This window comes from Homo sapiens, chromosome 13, assembly GCF_000001405.40.
Source record: "Homo sapiens chromosome 13, GRCh38.p14 Primary Assembly".
In the NCBI taxonomy this organism is placed as follows: Eukaryota; Metazoa; Chordata; class Mammalia; order Primates; family Hominidae; genus Homo; species Homo sapiens.
Window position 1 is genome coordinate 112,021,138 of NC_000013.11, and position 23,827 is coordinate 112,044,964.

The 23,827-nt window shown below is 48.9% G+C and overlaps 1 long non-coding RNA gene across 1 annotated transcript in view, besides 1 other annotated feature; it reads left to right on the top strand.

The window, feature by feature from the left end:
* SOX1-OT (SOX1 overlapping transcript) overlaps window positions 1-23,827 on the top strand; it is a 135,706-nt gene that overhangs the window by 48,828 nt on the left and 63,051 nt on the right. The window lies entirely within an intron of this gene.
* Window positions 6,968-7,468: an enhancer, noted in NCBI's record as "H3K4me1 hESC enhancer chr13:112682419-112682919 (GRCh37/hg19 assembly coordinates)". NCBI's record gives its function as "activates a minimal SCP1, AML or CMV promoter by ChIP-STARR-seq in primed H9 embryonic stem cells {active_cell/tissue: H9 hESC(primed)}" and the evidence as "EXISTENCE:reporter gene assay evidence [ECO:0000049][PMID:30033119]".

The following is a 23,827-nucleotide window of genomic DNA, read 5'->3' on the forward strand; positions in this document are numbered from 1 at the left end:
GTGGTCTAGAGAGAAGACCCACAGCCACAGCATTCCCTGAAGCCAAAGCCTAATCCAGAGCAAGGCCCAAGTCTCTTCAGTTCTATGAAGGTTGAGAGAGGTGAGGAAGCTGCAGAAAAAAAGTTGGAAGCTAGCAGGGGTTTAGTTCATGAGGCTGAAGGAAAGAAGCCATCTCCATAACATAAAAGTGCAAGGTGAATCAGCATGTGCTGATGGAGAAGCTGCAGCAAGCCATTCAGAAGATCCAGCTAAGATCATTGATGAAGGTGGTTAGACTAACAACAGATTTTCAATGTAGATGAAGCAACCTTATATTGGAAGAAGATGCCATCTAGGACTTTCATAGCTAGAGAGGAGAAATCAATGCCTGTCTTCAAGCTTCAAAGGCCAGGCTGACTCTCTTCTCTGAGGCTAATGCAGCTGGTGACTTCAAGTTGAGGCCAATTCTGATTTACCGTTCCAAAAATCCTAGGGCCCTTACGAATTATGCTAAGTCTACTCTGTGGTGTATATGTTGAACAACAAAGAATAGATGATAGCATGTCTGTTTACAGCATGGTTTACTGAATATTTTAAGTCCATTGTTAAGACCTACTGCTCAGAAAAAAGATTTTTTTCAAAATATTAGTGCTCATTGACAATGCATCTAAGTTACTCAAGAGCTCTGATGGAGATGTACAAGGAGATTCATGTTGTATTCATGCCTGCTAACATAACGTCCATTCTGAAGCCCATGAATCAAAGGGTCATTTTAATTTTTCGGTCTTAGTATTTAAGAAATACATTTTATAAGACTATAGCTGCCATAGATAATGATTCTTCAGGTGGATCTGAGCAAAGTACATTGAAAACCTTCTAGAAAGTATTCATCATTCTAGATTCCATTAAGAACATTTGTGATTCATGGAAGGAAGTCAAAATGTCAGCATTAACAGGAGTTTGGAAGAAGGTGATTCCCACTTTTATGGATGATTTTGAGGGTTCAGGACTTCAGTAGACAAAGGAACTACAGATGGGGTGGAAATAGCAAGAGAAGTAGAATTAGAAGAGGAGCTTGAAGATGTGACTGAACTGCTGCACTCTCATGATAAAACTTGAATGGTGAAGAGTTGCTCCTTATGGATGAGCAAGGAAAGTGGCCTACTGAGATGGAATCTACTCCTGATGAAGATGCTATGAACATTGCTGAAATTACACAAAGGATTTAGAATATTCTACAAATTTAGTTGATAAAGCAGCAGCAGGGTTGGAGAAGACTGACTCCAATTGTGAAAGAAGTTCTATGTTGGTAAAATGCTATCAAACAACATCACATGCTACAGAGAAATCTTTCATAAAAAGAAGAGTCAATTAATGCAGCAAACTTCATTTTCTTGTATTAGGAATATTTGTGAGGCCACAACCACCTCAACCTTCAGCAATTACCACCCTGATCAGTCAGCAGCCATCAACATTCAGGCAAGACCAGAAAAGAAGATTACAATTTGTTACAAGCTAAGATGATCATTACCATTTTTTAGCAATAAAAGTATTTTTAACTGAGGTATGTACATTGTTTTTTAGACACAATGCAATTACACACTTAATAAACTACAGCATAGTGTAAACATAGCTTTAATATGCAATGGGAAACCAAAACATTCAAGTGACTCCTTTTACTGTGATATTTGCTTTATCGTGGTGGTCTAGAACTAAACCTGGAATCTGTAGGGTCTGCCTGACCTGCATCTCTAGGGTCTGCCTGACCTGCCAAACAGGCTGTCAAGACGATTGTCCCAGCTTACACTGTGGTCTGTACGCGTGAGTGTGTGTGTTTCAGAATAGGTTATGTTTTCACATGGTTCAATATCAAAACAATGTCAATAGGTATAGGTGAAAAATGTTGTAATTTTCCCCATGCTCACATCCACCCCTGCCCCTGCCCTCAGGTTACCACTCAGTTTCTTATGTATCCTTCCTGAGTTTCTTGGTGTAAACAGGAGGAAATATAAGTATTTATGCTTATTCTTATTTTCCCCACTTCCTTCCACACCTTTCTGTACCATCCTATTCCACTAAATATTATATTCTGGAGATTCATCCTTATTTCCAGCAGAGAGCTTTCTCATTCATTTTTACAGCTTCATATTTTGTTTATAATAAAATATACTATTCAATCATCTTTTATCTTTTATTAATGACACTAGGTGTATTAGTCTGTTTTCATGCTGCTGATAAAGATATACCTGAGACTGGGTATAAAGAAAAGAGGTTTACGGCATTTTTCTTTTTTTTTCTTTTCTTTCTTTTTTTTTTTTTTGAGACGGAATCTCGCTCTGTTGCCAAGGCTGGAGTGCAATGGCGCGATCTTGGCTCACTGCAATCTCTGCCTTCTGGGTTCACGCCATTCTCCTGCCTCAGCCTCCCAAGTAGCTGGGACTACAGGTGCCCACCACCATGCCTGGCTAATTTTTTGTATTTTTAGTAGAAACGGGGTTTCACCATGTTAGCCAGGGTAGTCTTGATCTCCTGACCTTGTGATCTGCCTGCCTCAGCCTCCCAGGTAGCTGGGATTACAGGAGCCGACCACCACACCCGGCTACTTTTAGAAAAGAGGTTTAATGGACTCACAGTTCCACGTGACTGGTGAAGACTCACAATCATGGTGGAAGGCGAAAGGCACATCTGACATGGCAGCAGGCAAGAGAGAAATGAGAATCAAGAGAAGGAGGTTTCCCTTATAAAACCATCAGATCTCATGAGATTTATTCACTACGAGAACAGTATGGGGGAAACTGCTCCCATGATTCAATTACCTCCCACTGGGTCCCTCCCACAACACGTGGGAATTATGGGAGCTACAATTCAAAATGAGATTTGGGTGGGGACACAGCCAAACCATATCACTAGGGCTGTTTCTAATGATTTGCTTATTCACACAATGCCATAATGAATACCTTTACACCCATGAAGGTGTATCGTTAGGATACATCCCCAGAGGTAGGCTTGCATCTGTAGTTAAATAGATATCGCTGAATCACCCTTCAGCATGCACTCTCATCCACGATGTACATATTGTCTTCCCACACCGCAGGGCATATTGTCCAAATTTTTCATTTTGGTTGAGCTTCTAAGTGAAAGAAACGGTATCTCAGTCAGCTGAGCGTCTTCTCTTGTATTTAAGAGCCATTTGCCTTTGCCCTTCTCTGGGCCAGTTTGTTCATTTCCACTGCCCATTTTTTTCTGGCTTGTTTTTTTCTTATTGATTTGTAAGGCCCTTTATATGTGAGAGGTATTCGTCTTTTGTGATATGAGCTGCATTTCTTTTAACTCCAGTTGAATTTTTGAGTCTTAGTTTCTCCAATCCGGGTTATAAGGGATTTTCCTGTGCTTTATCTAGTATCATCACGGTTTCTCTCACTTGCATTTTTTTGTTTGACCCATTTGCAGTCCACCCCAGTGTGCTGTGCTATGGGGATCCAAAGGTGTTTTCCCCCCGCCCAGTAGCAGAAAAATCCAGGTATTCGACGTTGTATTGAAAATCACACCTTTTCCTCTCACTCGAGCTGCCACCTTTATTCACCTGTTCATTCCCACAGTGCTAGTTTCTGTGCCTGAACTCTCCTCTGTCCCACCTGCCTCCGCCTGTGCGAGCCGGCACCGGGCCGCTTTCATTGCTGGGTCTTCGTGATTCATATCCAGCAGGCGAGGGCCCTGCACTGCTCTTCCTTTTCAGAGTTTCTTTACTATTACTTATTTTTCCTCATGAACTTTGAAATTAGCTTGCTTGGTTCAAAAAAAATCACTGTTGGTAATTTTATTGGGATCATATTATGTTTTTAGGATAACCTAAAGAGAATGTATAGCATTATGGTGTTGAGACTTCTTCGTCAAGAAAAGTGTGTCTTTCTATGTGTTCAGGTCTTTCGTGCACCTCCGTGGTATCTGAAAACTTTCCTCATAGATCTTGCCAATTCCTCATTGAATTTACTTCTGGTTCTTGCTGTTATTTTTGCTGCTGCTGTTATTTTTGCTGTGATAAATGGGGGTCTTTTCTTCCTTAAATGTTCTAATTTGTTTTTTGTATCTATGAGGGCTACTGGTTTTAAGACACATATATAAGGCAGCTGACCTGAACGCTTCAAAACCAACAATGTCATGAAAACCAAAACAAAAACACAAAAATGCAAAAGCAAAAGAGATGGGGCAGGGGGCGGGGGTGCTCTCGATTAAAAAGAAACAAAAGAGCTTCAGCAAGCAGGGGCGTGTGAGATTCTCCTGTGGATCTGTCTTCTTAAAAACCTACCAAGGACGTTTTTGGGATGGCTGGGGACATTTGGAGAGAGACTGTATAACCAGAGGTACAGCGCTGAGTCAACAGTGCTGACAGCTGATGCGACATCAACACTGAATCAATGCTGAGCTGCTTGGCTTGGCGTGTCATTGTGGTTATTTCAGAGAAGGTCCATGTTCTTGGATGACACCGGCAAAAGTGCTGGGGCAAGGGGCCCTGATTCCATGGTTTGCTCTCAGACGGGTTAGCAAGCAGTGGATCCAAAACGAAACTTCACGCATGTACATACACGCACATATAGAGAGCGAGAGAATACAGATGAGGAAACGCGTTAGCAACTGGTGACTTTAGAGTGCTCGTTACATTATTATCTCAGCTTTCTGTAAGTTTGAAATTTTTCAAAATAAAACACTGGGGTAAAAAGGAATCTAACTAGAATGCTATGCATGTAGCACATCCATGGTGATCACTGTTTTGTGGGTTCACATGCCCAGGGAGGCTGAGAATCCTGGGCAGAAGGCTGAGGGTTGTAATTGTAAGTGTCTGTGTGCACCTGCTGCCCCTCCTCCGGCAGCCCTAAGTAGGTGCGGCTCGCTCTTCCTCCCGGAAGGAAACCTGCAGCCTCGGAGTACCTCTCAACCCTAAGGGATAATGTAAAGTCCTCTGGTCACTCCCAGCCACAAGAATCACTTCTGTACTTAAAATGTCCTGGCCCACTACCTTCTAAAATTCATCCACCATTGAAGCGTCCCTCCCCGCTGCACCTCACATATTCAGCCTGGAAGCCTGGAAGTGGGGGGCTGTGGCCAGCCCCTCCCCTATTTCTTCTGTCCTCAGCTCTTCCCTCCCCGCTTCCTGTGGGGCCCAGAGAAGCGGCCCCACCATCGCCACCTGTGCTGTCAAGTGTGTCAGGCAAGGCCATGTGGACACCCTGGGCCACGGAGCAAGAGAGAAGCTCCGTCAACTGAAGGCACAAGGAAGCCTCAGCACAAGGGGCTGGAGGCGTCTGCCCTTCGCCCAGGAGCAGAGGGGGCTGCCTGAAGAAGGAGGGTGAGGGGAACAAGACCCCTGCATCCAAGGAACCCCTTGAGCAAGGGCCAGGCCCCCGGGGGCTGGAACCTCCAGAAGCTTCCCACAGGAGCCAGCTTTAGACATCAGTCCTGCCGGAGGAAGGCACCCATCACATGGAGCGGATCTGAGGGGCCCCTCTGCTGGAGGAGGACAGGTGGGGACCCTTGGGAGGACACCCCCGGGAGGACAGGTGGGGCTGGTGGGGCCACCTCTTGGGCTCCACAGAAAAGCAGGTGGCTGCAGACAGACCCTCCCTCCCAGGGTCTCCACGGGTGCCTGCATCCCTGAGCTGCAGGCTTACAGAACGAGTTGCAAATCTTCCAAATGTTCCCACAGAGACCCTCGGACTTGATTTGAGGTGAGGGGGGTGAGCAATAAGGCCTGACATCTGTCCTCAAGGACTTACAGTCTGAGTGAGAAAGAGAAACCACAGCCATTTTGGGAGTGTGACAGGAGTCAGCCCATGGTTTGCAGAAAGGAAACGGAGGGTGTGGTTGTCCCATCCCAGAGGCCGCCAGTTCCCTGCGGGGTCCACATCTGAGAGCAGGGGAAGGGCAGCCCAGGTGGAACCCACTCCCAGCTGCTCTACAGAATCCTCAAATGGGCAATTCAGCCACTGAGAAAAGCAGAACTCAGTAGGGGCAGATGGAAGGGCCATAAGCCATGCTGTCTGGGCCTTATCCTGGAGAAATGGATGGGGAGCCAAGGAGAAGTGTGAGGCCAGGCCGCACTGGCCCATCTGTACTTAGAAAGATCGGCATGTAGAAAGAGCATTCCGGCAACGGCCCAGATCAGCAGGGCTGGGGACAGGCTGGGGACCCAGGGTCCCAGGAGTCAGGTGGGGGACAGGCTGAGACCCACGGTCCCAGGAGTCAGGTGGGGACAGGCTGAGACCCAGGATCCCAGGAGTCGGGTGGGGACAGGCTGGGGACCCGGGGTCCCAGAAGTCGGGTGGGGACAGGCTGAGACCCGGGGTCCCAGAAGTTGGGTGGGGGCAGGCCGAGACCTGGGGTCCCAGGAGTCGTGTCGGGGACAGATGGCCCCCATAGATGTGTGGCCAGCACTGGAGGGACCTAGCACTGACCTCGGCAGGAGAGGTGGGTGACAGCAAATGGACATGGGAAGGCTTGCACTGTGTCCTTCTTGCAAAGAAGCCTGCAGAACCCCAAGCTGGGAGAGAGGGGATGAGGGTGAGAAGGCAAAATGCCAGGGACATGTGGGTCCATCCTGAACAGCAGCGAGAAATGCGTGGCACAAAGGCATCAAAGCTCCTCGCAGCCCACCCAAAATACAGCTGAAGGCTAAGTGGGAAGTTAGGGACCCGTGCAGGAGGATGTGGGGTGCAGGTGGCTCTAACGTGCACAGGGCCAGCCCCATGGCACAGGGGTGTCTCCTGAAGGCACAGGGGCATGGACCCAGCCAGGAGGCAGGATGGCCCAGCAGGCAGGAGGATGAACCAGCTGGGAGGGAGGACGACCCAGAGAGAGGGAGGACAGCCTAGCCAGAAGGGAGGATGGCACAGTGGGTTGGAGGACAGCCCAGCCAGGAGGGAGGACAGCCCAACCAGGAGAGAGAACAGCCGAGCCAGGAGGGAGGATGGTACGGTGGGTGGGAGGACAGCCCCGCCAGGAAGGAGGATGGCCCAGCCAGGAGGGAGGACAGCCCAACCAGGAGAGAGGACAGCCGAGCCAGGAGGGAGGATGGTACAGTGGGTGGGAGGACAGCCCCACCAGGAAGGAGGATGGCCCAGCCAGGAGGGAGGACAGCCTAGCCAGAAGGGAGGATGGCACAGAGGGTGAGAGGACAGCCCAGCCAGAAGGGAGGGAGGGTGGACGGCCCAACCAGGAGAGAGGACAGCCCAGCCAGGAGAGAGGACAGTCCAGCCAGGAGAGAGGACAGTCCAGCCAGGAGGGAGGATGGCCCAGAGGGAGGGAGGATAACTCAGAAGGAGGGAGAACGGCACAGCAGGAGGGAGGATAGCCCAGTGAGTGGGAGGACAGCCCAGCCAGGAGGGAGGATGGCCCAGAGGAAGGAGGGAGGACAGCCCAACCAGGAGGAAGGACGGACCAGAGGGAGGAAAAACGGCCCAGCGGGAGGGAGGACAACTTGGAGAGAGGACGGCACAGCAGGAGGGAGGACAGCGCAGGCACCATGGGCCAGTGCAAGCAAAGCAGCCAGCATTGTCCACTGGCCGAGGCAGGAGCACCGCTGCGCCATCGGGTCTGGTGCTCTCCCGAGAACGGGGGGGAGAAATTCCTGAGAACTGAGCTACACTCAGGAAATGCCGTGAGTGTCTACAGAGGCCCTAAGGAAGGAGTCTCTCCATGGGACGCTGGGTGTTGAATCCCCACCATCGACACTGTCAGGGACCTGCAGGTTCAGTGGATCCTTCATAGGCACCGGAACCTTTGCCTCTGTGTGCAGAAGCGTTTCCACCCAGCTGCCTGGTGGGAGCTCGGCAGAAGATTTGGAAGGATGGGTAGGTTCTCAAAAAGGAGGAGCAGTATCTCAGGAAGGAAACGACAAACTGACCTTGCAAGTTATTCTGCAAGATTTAAGATCTCCTGAAACTTTTGGCATTGCTTATAGGATAAAATTAACTGGTTTTGTTTGTGGATTAATCCTTTTCTGTCTCAAGGGCCATGTCTACATTATTTTCACACATGGATGAATGGCCAGTTGTTTGGGTCTCATCTACACAGCTCTGCTGTGCTCACACTGTCCTGAGTGTCCTTTTCTTCAGAGATTCCATCCAGCGGTTTCCGAGCTGCCCAGTGAGCAGGACCTGGGCTGGAGTGGGGGCGGGGGTGGTGTCCAGGAGAGGGCCTTGTTGAAGTCGGGGCCAACCGGGTGAAGAGAGATGTCAGGGAAACCAGCATGGTTGGGAAGGAAAGCGGGGGCTGGCGTGGTCAGCGCGTCGGAAGCCATGAGGGTCAGCTGTGTGGGGCCAGCTCAGAGGGCGACAAAGTCCTGTGCACCAGAGACTAGCAGGCACCAGCAGACACTTCCCAGTTGGAGCACAGCTGGCCAAATATCCCAGGAAAATTTAACCCCAAAGTCACACGCTGCCCCCAGTAAATCAACCATGACGAGATGTTTCATGACCAGCGAAGGCCATTCACAGGGTCTTACCTGTCCCTCGACACAGGCTGCTGACTGGGGGATGCCTCACAGAGCAGGTAGTTCAGCTCCCTCAAAAACATACAAAGAAACTGATGCTTTTAAGAAGTGATGTTATCAGATGAACAAGAAGAGTCTCCTTTCTTTTTTGAAGGCTAGAACTGTCTAGGGGGGAAATATGTGTATGCAAATATGAGACAGCAAATTACATATGAACCTCCCAATAAAAACAGCTTCTGCACCCAAACCGAGTTATTGGCATGGATCAGAGTGGTGGTGATGGCGGGGGTGAGGGCCAAAAACCAATGTCCCTTACGCTTGAAACCTTTGTTCTACATCCGACCCAGCAAACCCATTGCCTCTGTATTCTGCCTGTTCTGCAGGACTTAAGTCAGCCCTACAACAGTGTTCAGTTTCTCTCTGCCACACCAGGTCCCTAGAAAACTGCCAATAATTTGGAACAGAGACCGAAGACGCCTGTCCTGATACGACATAGAGAGAAGCCCAGAAACCCTGGTGCTGGGCATCAAGGTTGCCCAAAACATCTGGTAAATGACAAGGACCTCCATTAAGACTTGGTGTGAGTTGGACGTCGTTTAAAAGAGCAGGTGAATTTCAAGAAGCAAACTCATGAATCGTGCCTGAGAGGGCACCAGTCCCTGAGATAGGCCCAGATGGTAGCAATGCTGGCTCTCACCTGAGGGTGTGGCTGGAGCCATGGGGAATGGAACAGGCTGGGGGAGAAGGGTCCAGGTGGATGGCTACCTTCTGAAAACACTCACTGCCACACACAGAATTGTTGACTCATTCCCCCAAAACTGGAACCGCCGGCAAGAAGGCGACAGAGATGAATTCTCAGCAGATTCTCAGAGTTTACTATTGTTCAAATTTTCCCAGAGTTTCTAAAGATCCAAACTTCACCCCATCTGTCCAGCAGAAACTGCCTTATTTCATCACGCAGGTTAGATTTCTATGCCTGTTAGCAAAGGCCTCATTCTCAAGAAAACAATCTGATTGACATATTTTCCCACCATGGAGTTTCAAATGAAGTCAAAGTCCGAGCAAAATGCAACTGCCAAACCCCACGAGCTAAAATCAACGGGGAGCTTCAGCACAGCTCTGCGTGCGGTGGACTCACCGGGCTGTGTGTGTGCACTTTGTTGTTACTGCTCCCTGGGAGAGTAAGGGTTATGCGTCCCAAAGCCATGCTGGGCTGGGCCCTGAGAAGACTGTTGTCTGCATCTTGCAAACTGCAACTCCTCCTCTGCTCACAGGCCTGGCTGGAGAGAGCAGGAGGTCAGTACAAGAGGAGGGGACCCCTTTGCATGTGGGAAAAAAAAAAGCCGTCAATACATATGAGAAGCTTGTGCACAGGCCCATGAGATTGCTGGAGACACGCAGCCATGGACTCCAGCATCCTTCAGAAATGGGGGCTGTTTTCCACCTGCCCTTCCCGCAGGTCCACGTTAACTCAAGGTTTATGGAGTTCAGAAAGCAGGAAACACTCAATTCAGTAAATTCCCTTAGGGCTCCCACAGGGAGAGGTGAACCCATAGAGAACCATGTGTGGGTAAATTTTGTTCTTGTTTTGTGATCTTTGCTGATTATTCAATTTAATGAGTTATAACAAACAGCATTATCACTTACCAGAAAGATGTAAGATGCGAATAATGAAATCCATAGCGCGAGAGTTCTTTACGGCAGCGCCGGCTTGGGGATGCTCGCCTATGGTAGAGACCGGTCCTGCGGGAGTGGCTCTCACCCCACCAGAGGGCTTCTCTGGGCCCTGGGGAGCTGTGTGCTGAGTGTGGGATGTTAACCGTACACATTTGTTGAGCACCCACTGTTTACCTGGCACCATGCTACTGCTCCATACATACTGTCTCCTACGCACAAAATAATGCCACAAAGTACATATATTACTCCTGATTTGCAGCTGGGGAAACTGAGGCTCGGGGTGTTAGGTTTTGCCAAAGGTTTCAACACCACAAGCGGCAGCGCGATTATCTGGACAGGTGTGAGACACGCCCAGCCCGCGAGCCTTCTGCTCTCACCCATGGCTCCTCTCAGAACCTGTGGCAGACACCCCGGAGCCACTGTGGCTGTCAGGGCATCAGCGTTGCTGGGTGCCTGCCATGCACCCTGCACTCTGCGAGGCATGGGGAGCCATCCTCCTGCAACTTGCATTGGTTTCCTGTGTCCCATGCCTCCTCACTTTGCACCTGCTCTTCCCTCTCCCTTCCCCACAGCCCACCTGGGAGCTCTTCCTGCCTCGCGACTTGGATGGAGGTCTTGGTCAAATCCTCGCTCCTCTGTTTCCTACCTGCACACCTGAGTGACTTCCTGAGCCTGTGTGTGCCTCTGTTTCCTCATCCGTGAGATGCAGGGACACCCGCCGTGAGTGTCAGCAGAGACGGTGCCCCTAGAGCCTCCTTGACACCAGCAACCTACTGCTGCTGTTGGTGTCAGAGGCCCTTGGTCTCTCATCACACCGAGGAAAGAGCCCCATGCCAGCTCTCATCACCTGGATTAAATTGTTCACCCTTCTGCTATGTGCACCGGACGACCACCCTCCTGGGTAATTACCTGGATTCCCCAAGTCCATGCGAACAGAAAAGAGGGCCTCCCTCTTACTCAATGTAACATCCATGCTGGTGCGTGGCAGGGCCTCAGCAAATGCCTGTGAAGTGAGTGGCTTATGCTGAGTAATCAGGCACGTGGTCATCCCACACAGTGTGGACGTGCCAGGCAGGATGAAATCGTGACAGACAGGGGTTCTCTGCAGGGCTGGCCATCAAGGGCCGAGTGAGAACACACAGAGCAATGACAGCTGCAGCAGTGGGCCCAGAACCAGGTGTCCGCCTGGGCTTGCCATGAGGAATTCGGAAAGGAATTCCCAGGTGTGACCTGGTTCACAGGAGCCCATGGGAGCTTCGTGAAAGTGGAAAGAGGATTTGAACTTGGTGGAGAGAAGAGAGGTGGAGGAAAATGCAGAAAGGACCTCAGAGGCGCCGCTGCAGCCCCTCCTGTGGCCTGGAATCCGATCCCGGGCTGCAACCCAGGAGGCCTGCGGAGATGGAAGACGATGGCTGCAGGGAAGACCAGAGCCTGGCATAAGAATCAGCTGCTTCTGATGGCTTCGCCCTTGAGCCCCATGATGAGGGAAGAGTTAAAAAGGTCTCTTGAGCACAGTGAGTCATGGCCATGGCTGTCATTTCCTTTTTCTCCACCAACCTGCAGCTCTTCTTCCCTCCAGTTCTCTGCTCAAGCATGACCTTCATGAAGCCTTTGAAAGTCAGCCTCGCCCTTCCAAGATTCCACTCTGCCCCCTAACAGAGCCTCTCGCTTACCAGTGTGCTTCTGTGTAAATGTCCTGATATTATCCCCCTGGGATAGTTCCCAGAAACCTTTCCTGGCAGCCACCTTCTGCGCCCAGCAGGACCAGGCTCCACCATTGCCTGGGATACGTTCAATGGAAGGGCTGTCTTCTGGGGTCCCCCACTAGGTTGTCATCTCATCAATGATTAAGTCTTATTTAATTCTATGTCCCCAGAGCTTGGGAAAGCACCTACAAGTCATAGGTGTTCAGTGTTAGTAATAAAAGTTATTACTATTAAATAGTTCTTTTATTTAACAATATAGTTATTTAACTCTTTATATTATAGTTAAATAAAAACTAATATACTATAGTTATTTATATAACTATAGTTAAATAAAAGAACTAATGAATCAACAAATGAAGGAATAAATAAATGAACAAAGATATTCTACTTCCTCGGGGAACAGTGAGTTGTACCATTGATGGCTCAGCAAAAGAAACAGAAACCACCGCGGGGGCTCCAGGGCAAGCTGAGGGCCCCCTGGAGCAGGGCTGGCAGACAGGGCTTTGGTGGGACCTCCAGGATTGGCTCTTAGAACCCCAAAGACCTGACCCACTGACAGCCTTTGCCACAAGTTGAAAATGGGGAATCAGGTGCACCAAAACCACCAGATTCAGGTCAAAGACATACAACCAGGATCAGGGAGCTGCAAATGCCACTCAGCCGTTCAGCTGGGTGTTCCACCTTTCCACACAAACCCGCTCCTCAACACAGGACTGCTGGTGCAGGGGCGGTGCTGTGGGAGTGTCCGACGGTGCAGCCTCTCCAGGTAGCAGGAGATGACCACCTGCAGCAAGGAGATGGCGCCCACTTAGCCTCTGCTTTGACATCTCCATAGGTAAGAGAAGCTAGTGAGGAAATGGAAGTGGCGTGCAGAATCCCAGCTGCAGAGGGGTCAGGAACCGTGGCTCCTGCAAGCTCTCCAGCTTCTGCGGTCGAGGAAGACACACCAGATGAGGAAAGAAGGCACGCTTTGTGAAAAGGGCCATTTCCAACCCAATGTGTGTCCACATGGACAAAGCCCATGACCTAATAAGCAGAGCCCTCCATATCCCTAAATCTGGAATGTCCCCAATACTAAACAGGCCTGGTTCTTCCTCGCACTCTGAATTCATGGTCATTAGTAAGGCGTTCATTCCTGCAGGCCCAGTAGATGCTGACTCCAGTTTGGGCTGCAACGGGAGTAGCTATTTTGTATCTGGAAGCAGCAGTCCCACACCCCTGTCTGCACTCACCGCCCAGGGTCCCCCGTCACTCACAGCGCATTGGCACAATGGCCAGAATCCCCCGTGACCGTCACCTCTCCCCCGCTTCAGGCTCTCCTGCTGTAGCCTCTTCTGTGGAATTCTCCTTATGACCCATTAAAATAAAAAAGCAACCCCAGGAATCATTTCTGACGTTCAGATTCCAGATGGAGACAGGCCAGCTTTTGCACATGCAGTACTGCTGTGCAGAGGAAATAACTTGGCTCGCAGGGTCAATCTCAGCCCGTGCCTCATGCCTGCGCTCTCCAAATCCCACGGGAATCCCAGGCTCTTACCTAGGGGCAGCTTTGTGGTGCTGCTCCGCCTGGAAGCAGCCTCTGGCACACAATCTGGTTTCGGGTTCCACTACTCCTAGATGACCCAGACCCAGACTCATTCATTGACCCTCTCCAGGAGACTCCTGGGATTTCCCCTGAACAATGTCCCTGTGGAATCTGAGACTGTAAAAGTAAATATTAATTTTTTGCCTTTTTCTTTTTTTGGTCACTACTCATTGCCTAAAGAAGTCCGTTGGCCTTAGATGGAAATCGAACAGCTGGATAAAGCTATTTTAATCTAGGCCTTAGTGTTATGTCTGGAGTCTAAGCAGTGACTGACTTCTCATTGCATAAAGTTTCAGGGATGAGTGAGTTATTTGTACCTTGGCCGCTAGTGTGTGAAGGTCTGGGATCCTGTGGTAAGCAAGGCCACAGGAGCTGTCTCTCCAGGACAGGCCCAGGGTCTCTGCTGCCCTGGCGGCCCCATCCCTGCTGGTGGAATGTCCTTCTCCCTGTGGAAGGAGGCCTAGTTCCTGGAACCTGCAGACGGTCAGAATGACCCATGTACCCTCAGGGCATCTGCCAGGAGAAGCGGGAAGCAGTGACCCTTAAGGCCTGTCTGATGAGGGCTCCGCATTTCCTTCCTTGCAGGGTCTCAGGGGAGCAGAAGCACATTGGAGCATGGCCCTGTTCACCCGTGTGTGTGTGTGTGTGTGTGTGTGAGTCTGGGTCCCAGGAACAGGGAAACATACTTGCTTCCAGCACCATGACAAGAACCAAGAGAAAAGTTCTCCCCAATCTAATGGGTGAGCCACTGCCCTCCTGTCCCCCACCCAGAGGGTGATCCAGAGCCCTCCTGTCCCCAACCTAGAGGATGAACCACTGCCCTCCTGTCCCCCACCCAGAGGGTGACCCAGAGCCCTCCTGTCCCCAACCTAGAGGGATGAGCCACTGCCCTCCTGTCCCCAACCCAAAGGGTGACCCAGAGCCCTCCTGTCCCCAACCCAGAGGGTGACCCAGAACCCTCCTGTCCCCAACCCAGAGGGTGACCCAGAGCCCTCCTGTCCCCAACCTAGAGGATGAGCCACTGCCCTCCTGTCCCCATTTCAGGGGTCTCTTGTTCCTTGGGCTTCTTATCTGGGACTCATCTTTTCTGCCCCATCTCTCATCTCCTTCATACCCCGGCGGTTCTCCCTCATGTCTTAGAGACCTAAAGGGACCTGTTCAGTGTCCTCTGGCCAAGTGGTCCTATTGTCCTTCCCTGTAATGCAGAGCATATCAGAACTGGAGCCTACAGATTATCTCGTCCTGTCCAAATACTTTATTCCACTGATAAAACCATCTGAGAACCAGAGATTTTCCCAAGGTCAGAAATCTAGCAGATTAATGATATCAGGTTTATGTCTTCAAACAACGTGCCAGTCACTGCATTTATTATTGGAAGACAGATTTGTTCCTGTTGAACCAACAGCAAAATAGAGGCTATTTCTTGATGCTTAGCATGGATCAGAGACAGTGCTGATTCTCACCATAAGATTATCCATTTATTCAGATGAAAAGCTGAAGCTGAGAAGTTAAGTAGCTTGCCTTGGGTCACCCAGTTACCGAGTGGCAGGGGCGTTCGGCCCACGTGTTGAGGATCTGAGGCCCTTGCTGAGAGCCAATCGGGCAGGTAGTTCTGCCTTTCCCAAGGTGGCTGCGTGGGGGTCGCACTGCCTCTCCCGCCTTAGAAACGGCCCCAGTGATGCAAACGGCTCCGAGTGCACGAGATCTCTCTGAAATTTGTCAAATGAGAGTTGAAGCTCTGCAACTACCCATACGTAGCCCGGGGCCCTGCATTTTCCTCAGCAGCAGGGCCAGGCCCACCGTGACGGCTCCGCACCGACGCACCCTTCTCAGGGCAAGATCGACACAGAGTGCTCTCCAGGGCCACCCGGAGATGCCCAGACTCAGAGGCCTGCCTCCAGCCCTGCCTGCCTGGACAGCAGGCCTGAGAGCCGGACATGCTTCCGTGTGGCCGTCACATCCCCAGAGTTGCACCCGCGCAGGCCGTGTGTGCACGTGTTCTTGAATCCTAGGGTGTACATCATGTCCCCAACCCCACCCCACTCAGCGCCAAGGGAGGGAAGGGGAGTCCAGCTCCCCTCGCAGGGCCGGACTGAGCACTCTGCACTCGGCCCTGCCGTCCCCTCTCCACCCTCCCCTGTCCTCCACCCTCTTCTGAGTCCCGGAAGCTGATTTCCAGGGGATTCTGGCCTGGGGGTGGGTTTGATCACTGGGAAGGATGGCAGGGGCCTGGAGGGCAGGAAAAGTGGGGAGTTGGGACCTGTATCTCCTAGTCTCTCCTGGGGCTGCATATCAGCAGCTCCGCGTCTCCACCAGTGGCCACGGCGCGCAGCCCTTCCTCAGGCCCAGCTCCCTCCGCGTCTCCCCAGTGGCCACGGCGCGCAGCCCTTCCTCAGGCCCAGCTCCCTCCGCGTCTCCACCAGTGGCCACGGCGCGCAGCCCTTCCTCAGGCCCAGCTCCCTCCGCGTCTCCACCAGTGGCCACGGCGCGCAGCCCTTCCTCAGGCCCAGCTCCCTCCGCGTCTCCCCAGTGGCCACGGCGCGCAGCCCTTCCTCAGGCCCAGCTCCCTCCGCGTCTCCACCAGTGGCCACGGCGCGCAGCCCTTCCTCAGGCCCAGCTCCCCCGCGTCTCCACCAGTGGCCACGGCGCGCAGCCCTTCCTCAGGCCCAGCTCCCTCCGCGTCTCCACCAGTGGCCACGGCGCGCAGCCCTTCCTCAGGCCCAGCTCCCTCCGCGTCTCCACCAGCCCTTTCTTAGACGCAACTCTCTCAGCGTCTCCAGGTCAGCTCCCCTTCCCTGCTGCTGAGGGGAGACAACGGTGCCCACCCGCTGACACCAGCCCCAGGAGGCTTCCTAGTTGCTCTTGGTTCTCCCTAATTCTACCCACATATTTGTAAATATTTCCTTTATTTAAACCCTTCTCCCTTCCCCGTGCGAGTGTGCCTCTGCTCCTGTCTGACCAGGCGAGTCCATATCAAATATAAGGAGGGCGTTCTTCCCAAACCTACTGATAACGGCTTCAACCATGGCATTGAAAACTATTTATCTAAGTCTTTTTGCCTCTGCTGGGATCCAAAAGACTCTTTGAAAACCAAAAGCTGAAATATACCTACAATGAAAATGCGTAAGTTTATACCTCGGTATTGTTTCCCCGTCGTCGTTTCTGTCTGGGAATCACTTGGCACACGTGCGGGGCTCTTTCATGAGTTGAGGGTGTCTCAGAAACCTCCGTCTCCCGGATCCATGGCTGCTCTACAGAGAGGGGCCGGACCGTGTTCTCTCCGGCTGTGGGCAAGCCGTCCTGTCGTTTCTTCCACCTTATGTTGTTTGGTCAAACAAGCAAACACGGGATGAGAACCATTGCTTGACTGCGTCTACCAGGGCACCCGCGGCAAAGGAACTGCTGCTACCCGTGAGCCGTGGAGCTGTGTGCATGACTTGAGCCATTTGGAAAGACCCAGCAATAGCTGGTCAACGATGAAGGGGGCCATTCTGTTTACAGCAGTAGAAGGCAGGGATGAGCACAGCTCCTACCTCTATGTGGAGGCTTCATTGCCCAGCTCTGTCTCCGACCTCCAGAACGCCTTTCTGGGTGGGATGGACGGTCTTCGGTGGTCAGGACTACAGAAACAGCCCTTGGTATTTTTGAAGCCATTTTGAATGGCTCGAATATAATGGCTTAGAATTTGAAAAATTTGAAAAATAAAATGACTTCAAATTTGAAAAATCGTTGCAATAAACCCTGTTGCCATCTGGCTGGATTTCACATGAATATGTCCATGGAAGAGAAACTGATAACTGAGTAAGATGGATCTTAGGCATCAAAGTGTAGTGCTTGCCTGGTGTTTTCTAAGGCAAATTTGAGGCAGAGAAGGTTTTCTTTCTTAGTATCAGAGACAGCAGGAACTTCTCTACTGGCACAAAAATGTCCATCTTGAAATGTCTTGAAGTCTTCTAGAAAGGTTAAATTAATCCTATTTCAAAATTTTCTGAAAGAGGATTCTGGGATTTCTTTTTTTAGTAAGCAAAATTCTTTCTGGATCTAAATGTAACTTTGGGAGAAAACAATGGGAATGTCTCTCCAGCCCCCCTCACACTCTGCATCACTCAGATTTGGGCTTATTGATGCTATTTTCCCGTCCTAAGTTTGTTATGTTCAAATAGATTGATTTGAAAAGATGTATATTGAGTAGTGATTAGCATATATTTTAAATAAGGCAAAAATCTTGGAACTCCTAATCCAATCATTTATTTAGGATGAATCTACATACATACGCTGGGTCAACTACATTCTTATCACATGTGAGTAAATCACAGCGTCACCATGGATATCCCAGTTGCAAATGGCATTGCGCATGCTGGCCATCTGCTTTTATAAATAATGGAGTTCCCGCCTCCCTATCTAAGCGAAGCCCTCCAGGCTGGCCTGTGCCAGGTCTCCACTTCACCTCCTCCTGCTCTCTGCTGATCACACCAGCACTCACTTGAGCAGCACTTGCCAAGGTCCCCAGAATTGACTCCACACAGTTGAGTCCACGGCCAATTCTGTCTCCATCCAACTTCTCTGTCAGGAGTGGGCAAAGTTATCCTTATTTCTTCACCAGCTTCCAGGATCCAGCCCTCTCTTGCTTCTCTGCCTTCTCAGTCTCCTTTGCAGGTTCTCCCTCACTTCCCTGACCTCCAAATCCTGGGCACACCTATGCAGTGCCCCTCACTGCTCCTCCTCCAGCGGCCCTCAACTCTCCCAGTGGTCTCTCTCAGCTGCAGGACAGCTTCACCTCCCACTTGTCTCCCTTTCCTTAGATGTCTCGTATAGCAGCTCTTCAACACTTCTGCTTGGCTGCAGAGCAGGGGTCTTGAGCTTCACTTGGCCAAAATGTACCCCCACACACCAGTAGCAAGTAAGGCTACCTCGTGCCAATGTCCAATGGTGATCTGTGCTTTGTAGAAAATCACAGCGGGTGAAGGGAGTGAGAGCGGGGGTTAGGCAGGGACAGCTCTGAGATGAGGGGCATTCCAGCAGAGAGGCAAGGAGCAAAGGGAAGAGCCACACGCATGTTGTGTGTCGGAGGGAAGAGCTTTCTAGACGGGGTGGGCATCAGGAGTCGGGAGGCAGTTGGAGGGAGCATGGAGCAAGCCCTGTGTGCATGAGGCTATAATTTCTCCCGGCTCCATCTCCAGAGCCTGGATCTCCTACTTCAAGCAAGGGTCTCAGTAAAAGCTACCTGGGGAATTAACAAGAAACTGAGTCACTTTTACATCTATAATCATCGACCAAAAAAAAATCAATTAATCCTCCTACATCCTAAGCCAGTCTCCATAACTCCTGGTTTCCTGTGTTTCTGCTGTAAAATAGGATGAATTTCCTTCATGAGAATGACAATTATTACAAGTGTTTCAAACACTGATTTGAAGGAAATCTAAAATATATTTTTCCCTGCTAAGGAGCTCTGTTAGGAAGATAAGCAACCACACCAGCCTCAATGCGTCTACACCTGCGAAGTTCAAAGCAGCAGCTCTGTAAATTGAATACAATTAAAAATGCACTTCCTCTGTTGCATTCACCATACCTCAAGTGCTTTGCAGCCATGTGTGGCCAGTGACCACAGCAGGGGACAGACCAGACACAGAACATTTCCTTCATCAAGAAAGCTCAGGGCTAAACCCTCGATCACCTTGAATTACTCTCTGATTACTTGGGGGATAAACTGGGGTTGTTGAATGCAAAGAAAAATAATTTATCTTCTTTAAATACAGTTCCATGGTGATAAAAATGAGCAGATTCATAAAAAATTTTTCAGTAAACCCTCATGCCATCTGGGTGGATTCCACGTGAATGTGTTCATGGAAGAGAAACGGATAAAACTGACCAAGATGAATCTTAGGCGTCAACATTTGGTGCTTGTGTGAAATCATTCCCACAGCACTTGGTGCCAGAAGTCCCTGCTTTCCAGCTGTGGGCAGTGGTGAAACTGTATCAGCATCAGCATGAGAATGTGGAGTTACAAACTGCGTCAGCACCCACGGCAATCACAAAATTATGGTGCAGAACGAAGCCACCAAAAGTAGGTTTGGGTGCATGTGTTTCTTCCCTTCCAAAATGTATGGGAAGCTGCAGTTCCATGATTCTCACACCTCCGTGATTTCCAGGACAGAAGGACTTGCTGGTGGCCCCACCCTCATATTTTATTGTGGCCCCGGCCCATAGGTTGGGCTTAAGCCTCTGGCCGGCACCAGTCACCCACAGCCCTGTGCTCCTTCAACTAGGAATCGAGCTGCCAGGTCCTGTTGAGGGGTGGGAGGTGGGCAGGAAGAGAAAGAAGTCTCAGCCCAGTGCACAGTAGTGACATTTACCCAGAGGAGGAAAACTGAAAGTAGAATTGATTGATTCTTTCATCTTTATACACCTAAAATCTCATAGGGCAAAAGCAAGCAATATCGCATTCCTTGTAGAGACTGAGTATGGTAAAGGTTAGCAACTGTAACTTTAGTAGCATTTTCTTTCCTAGAGAATCCAAATCCATGCTGCACTGCACTGTTTTTGGGTGGGACAGGAGTGAGGGGAGGTCCCTCACCAAGCTGTGCTGCCTGTTGGCACACATGCAGCAGAAATGGCATGTTGCATAAATGGTTTTTATTCAGGCAATTATTGAAAAATGACCTCTCTATCACAACACTTTCCTAGTGGGTAATTGACAAGTGCTCACTTTTTCATGCAAAAAAAGGTAAATCTCAAACAAACTATAGCATATGCATGGAAACATACAGCATGCTTTGTCTCACTAAGAGGCTCAACTATTTGTTGAAATGAAGCTTGACCTTTGGCTATGTTAACACCTTTAAAACCTTTTTTAAAAGACCAAATTACTTTAAGACCAGTGAAACCACTGATATTCCTAGTTGCATTCTCAGAAAGATCTATGGTATTTACTTGAGAACATGTTAAGACTCCTCCTCGGACTCAGAGTCCCCAGAATCCTTAGATCTCTTAAGACAGCATAAGTTTAATTTAGGCTGATGCCGGGGGCTGGGGGGAAGAATACTTTCTGTTGGAAAAACAAAGAATTGAATTAACATGTGAGATTGGGACTGTTTTCTGTGAAGTTAGCACACTTTTTTATTTACTAGGAAGATGAACCACTGGAATTCAGCTTAACAGCGAAAAAGAATCTCCAGCCTAACAAGGTGTTATATTGAAGTGAGTAGAAAAAGACTCCCCAGTGGTCTCACTTGGAGTCTGCAAGGATTAGAGAAGGCTGAGGGCTGTCAACTGCTGCCTTCTCTGCTTTGCTGTCTGCTATGGGTCACACTGGGTCCCCCAAAAGCCATTTGGAAGTCTAGCCCCCAGCCCCTCAGAATGAGAGCTTACTGGGAATAGGGCCTTTGCAGATGGAGTTAGTTAAAATGAGGTCATGCTGGAGTAGGAAGGGCCCTACATCCAATATGCCCGAGTCCTTGTAAGAAGAGAAGACCCAAAAGGAGATGAAGACAGAGACACACAAGGGGATGCCATGTGCAGACAGAGGCTGAGGCCGGAGCGCAGCCATGAAACACAGAGGCTGGACCACTGCTGCCAGAGGCTGGGAAGGTCAAGGGAGGACCCTGCCCAGAAGAGTCCCAGAGAGGCACAGCCCTATGGACACCTTATTTCAGACGTCTGGCCTCCAGACTGTGAGACAACAAATTTCTATTGTTTGAAGCCAGCAGTTGTGGGACTTTGCGATAGCAGCCCTGGGAAACTGACACCCCATGCTGTCATAGTCCCTCCCAGGAGCAGGGAAAGGAGCTGTCCCACCTCCCAGCTGGACAGGGACACATGGATGGAGCTTTCTAGGCCCAACTGTACAACTATGGAAAACCACATCCATACAAACAAAGATCAGGAGGGTCATATAAAAATGATTATTTAAGGTGGTAGAGTTGGGTTTTTTTTTTCCTTTTCTCTGCTCTTTCACAAATTTTTGTTAAGGTTGGTTAAAAAACATGCAAAATTCCTAGGCTAAAAGGGCCTTCATATTTGATTAACCATATTATTGCTTCAAAACTCCTGAATCAGCTACTTCCCCTGACGCTGGGAGTAAAGGCGACATCTGCAGGCTCTTCCAGCACAGTCGAGAGCTACTCCTCATCCTGATGACTCAGTGTTGTGGCATCTCCTTAAATTGTGCACCAGAGGCAGGCTCCTCATCTCCTTGCCCTTGCCCCAGCCCTGCCTGAAAGCATCACTCCATGATTTTCTTGTGTCTACTTTTGTTTGAAAGCCAGCTGGGGAAGACACTGTTCCTAAAGGTAGTCTGCCTGCCGTCACTGGCTGCTTATAAGTCTCATCTGCCTTTGGGTTTCTGCAGTTTCACTCTAACGTACCCAGCTATGAATTTCCTTTCATTTATCCCACTTGGGACATACCAGGTTTCTTGAATCTGTATTTCAATTTGCTGTATTAGTTCTAGAAAATTATCAGCCATTATATTTTCAACTATGTTTCCTTCTCCATTCTTGTTCTCTTCTCTTTTTAAGACTCAAGTGTGTGTTGAACTTTCACACTGTATAGTCTATGTCTCTTACTTTTACTTCTGAGGTTTTCCTTTTTCATCTCTCCATGATGATTTTTAGGTTTACTCTTGAACAGTCTCCCAGTTCACAAATTCTCTCTTTAGCTGTATCTAATCTGATCTTAAATCTATCCAGTGACTTCTTAATTATTTTTTTCTTCAGAGTTTTTAAAAATTTCTGTTTTACTTTTGGGATTTCCAATTCCCTGACCATTTTTTCAGAGCTTTGCTTAATCTCTTGTTATATACTAAATATAATGCATACCTCATCTATTGGCTTCAGTGTCTGGAGTCACTGTAGTTCTGTTTTTGGAGTCTCTTATTTCTGTTTCATCTCATTTAATGGTGTTTGGTCTCCTTGTCTCTGGCCATCTTCCACTATCTACTGGCACAGTAATTTTTTAAATTTTTGAACATATAATTTGAGGCCTGGGATATCATCATCTTCCTGTAGGGAAGATTTTTATTTGCTTTTGTAGCTCTCTGGGAGGAGTAGCAGTACGAAACGAAACCTCAAAACCTACTCTCTCTATCTCTGCATTAGAGACAGGACTGAAGACTGATATTTTAATCTATGCTTTGTGAAAGCAGAAAGTGTTCTTCAGGAGATGAGTGGCAACCACGAACTGCCAGGAAATCAATGGATAAAATGTGCTTTCAGTGCATAGTTCATACAAATTACTTCAACCATAAAATTTGACAGCTTGTAAATAATGGCCTAAGAAATCCAGAGAGGAGAGACGTAACATTAATTTAGAGGCTGTTTCTAGTCTTCAGCTGTACCCTCAAGTCCCTGCTTCCCAACCCATACCAGCATTTCATGGATATTTATTTCAATTCTCCTTCACTTTCCTCAATGTTAAAATGACAGAAGAGTTATAACCCAAATGTCCAATTATTTTAGGAAGTACATAGGATTGAGAGCAAGTTTACATTTTTTAAAATCAGTAAAACTAGCTTATATTTTAGCAAGGACAAAGCAGCATGGGATGGTAATTAGTAACCAGACATTAAATAAGTACTTACATGCTAAACTAGCATTTAAAGTAGTGTGACCCTAAAATATCTCACAAATTGTCTTAGATAGTGGACTTGGAGAAACACCATAATGCATTTTTATCGTTACTGTAAAATATAAAATAATCAATCTTTTTTGTGTGAAACACTGCATATAAACACACGTTCCAGAAAAGTATCAAAACAATAATTACAAATCCTTATTCACTTCTCTAGGGATTCATTGCATAAGCCTGCCACAAAGAAGTACAAATATTGTTTTTCTCTAAAGCTATCTGAGTAAACATCAACCTAGTAGAAAAATCTGTCGACCTATGCTTTGGGGGAGCACCTCCCAGGATTCCTTTAGAATGCAGACTCGTGGGCATGGGGTGGGGCCCAAGATTCAGCGTTTCTCAGGAGCTCCTGGTGGGGACCACACTACAGGTCATGGAGTATTTCATCTTCAAGATACAAAGCTCTGATGGACAGCCCTTGAATAACATCAAGGAGACATGAGAAAAATCCAGTAATGGTGCAAATAAAAAAGAACGCCCAACCATAGGCCAATCATCTCTTTAAATATAAGCAAACATAAGTCTACATAAGTTAGATAAGATGTACGTTTTGTTCAGCATTGCCCTTTTAACAATATTTTCTATCCCTGCAAATTACTATCCAGCTGGCACATAAAACACATTTTTTCAGATGCTTTTATTGATGCGAAGAATTTCAGTTTTTGAGAGAGCATTTTATAGAGGGCAGGAAGAAAGGTAGAGAACACGGCTTCAAGTACAAGACCTTGGTAAGTGTCGATCTCATTAAAAGAGAATGAAAGAGTTCTGGGT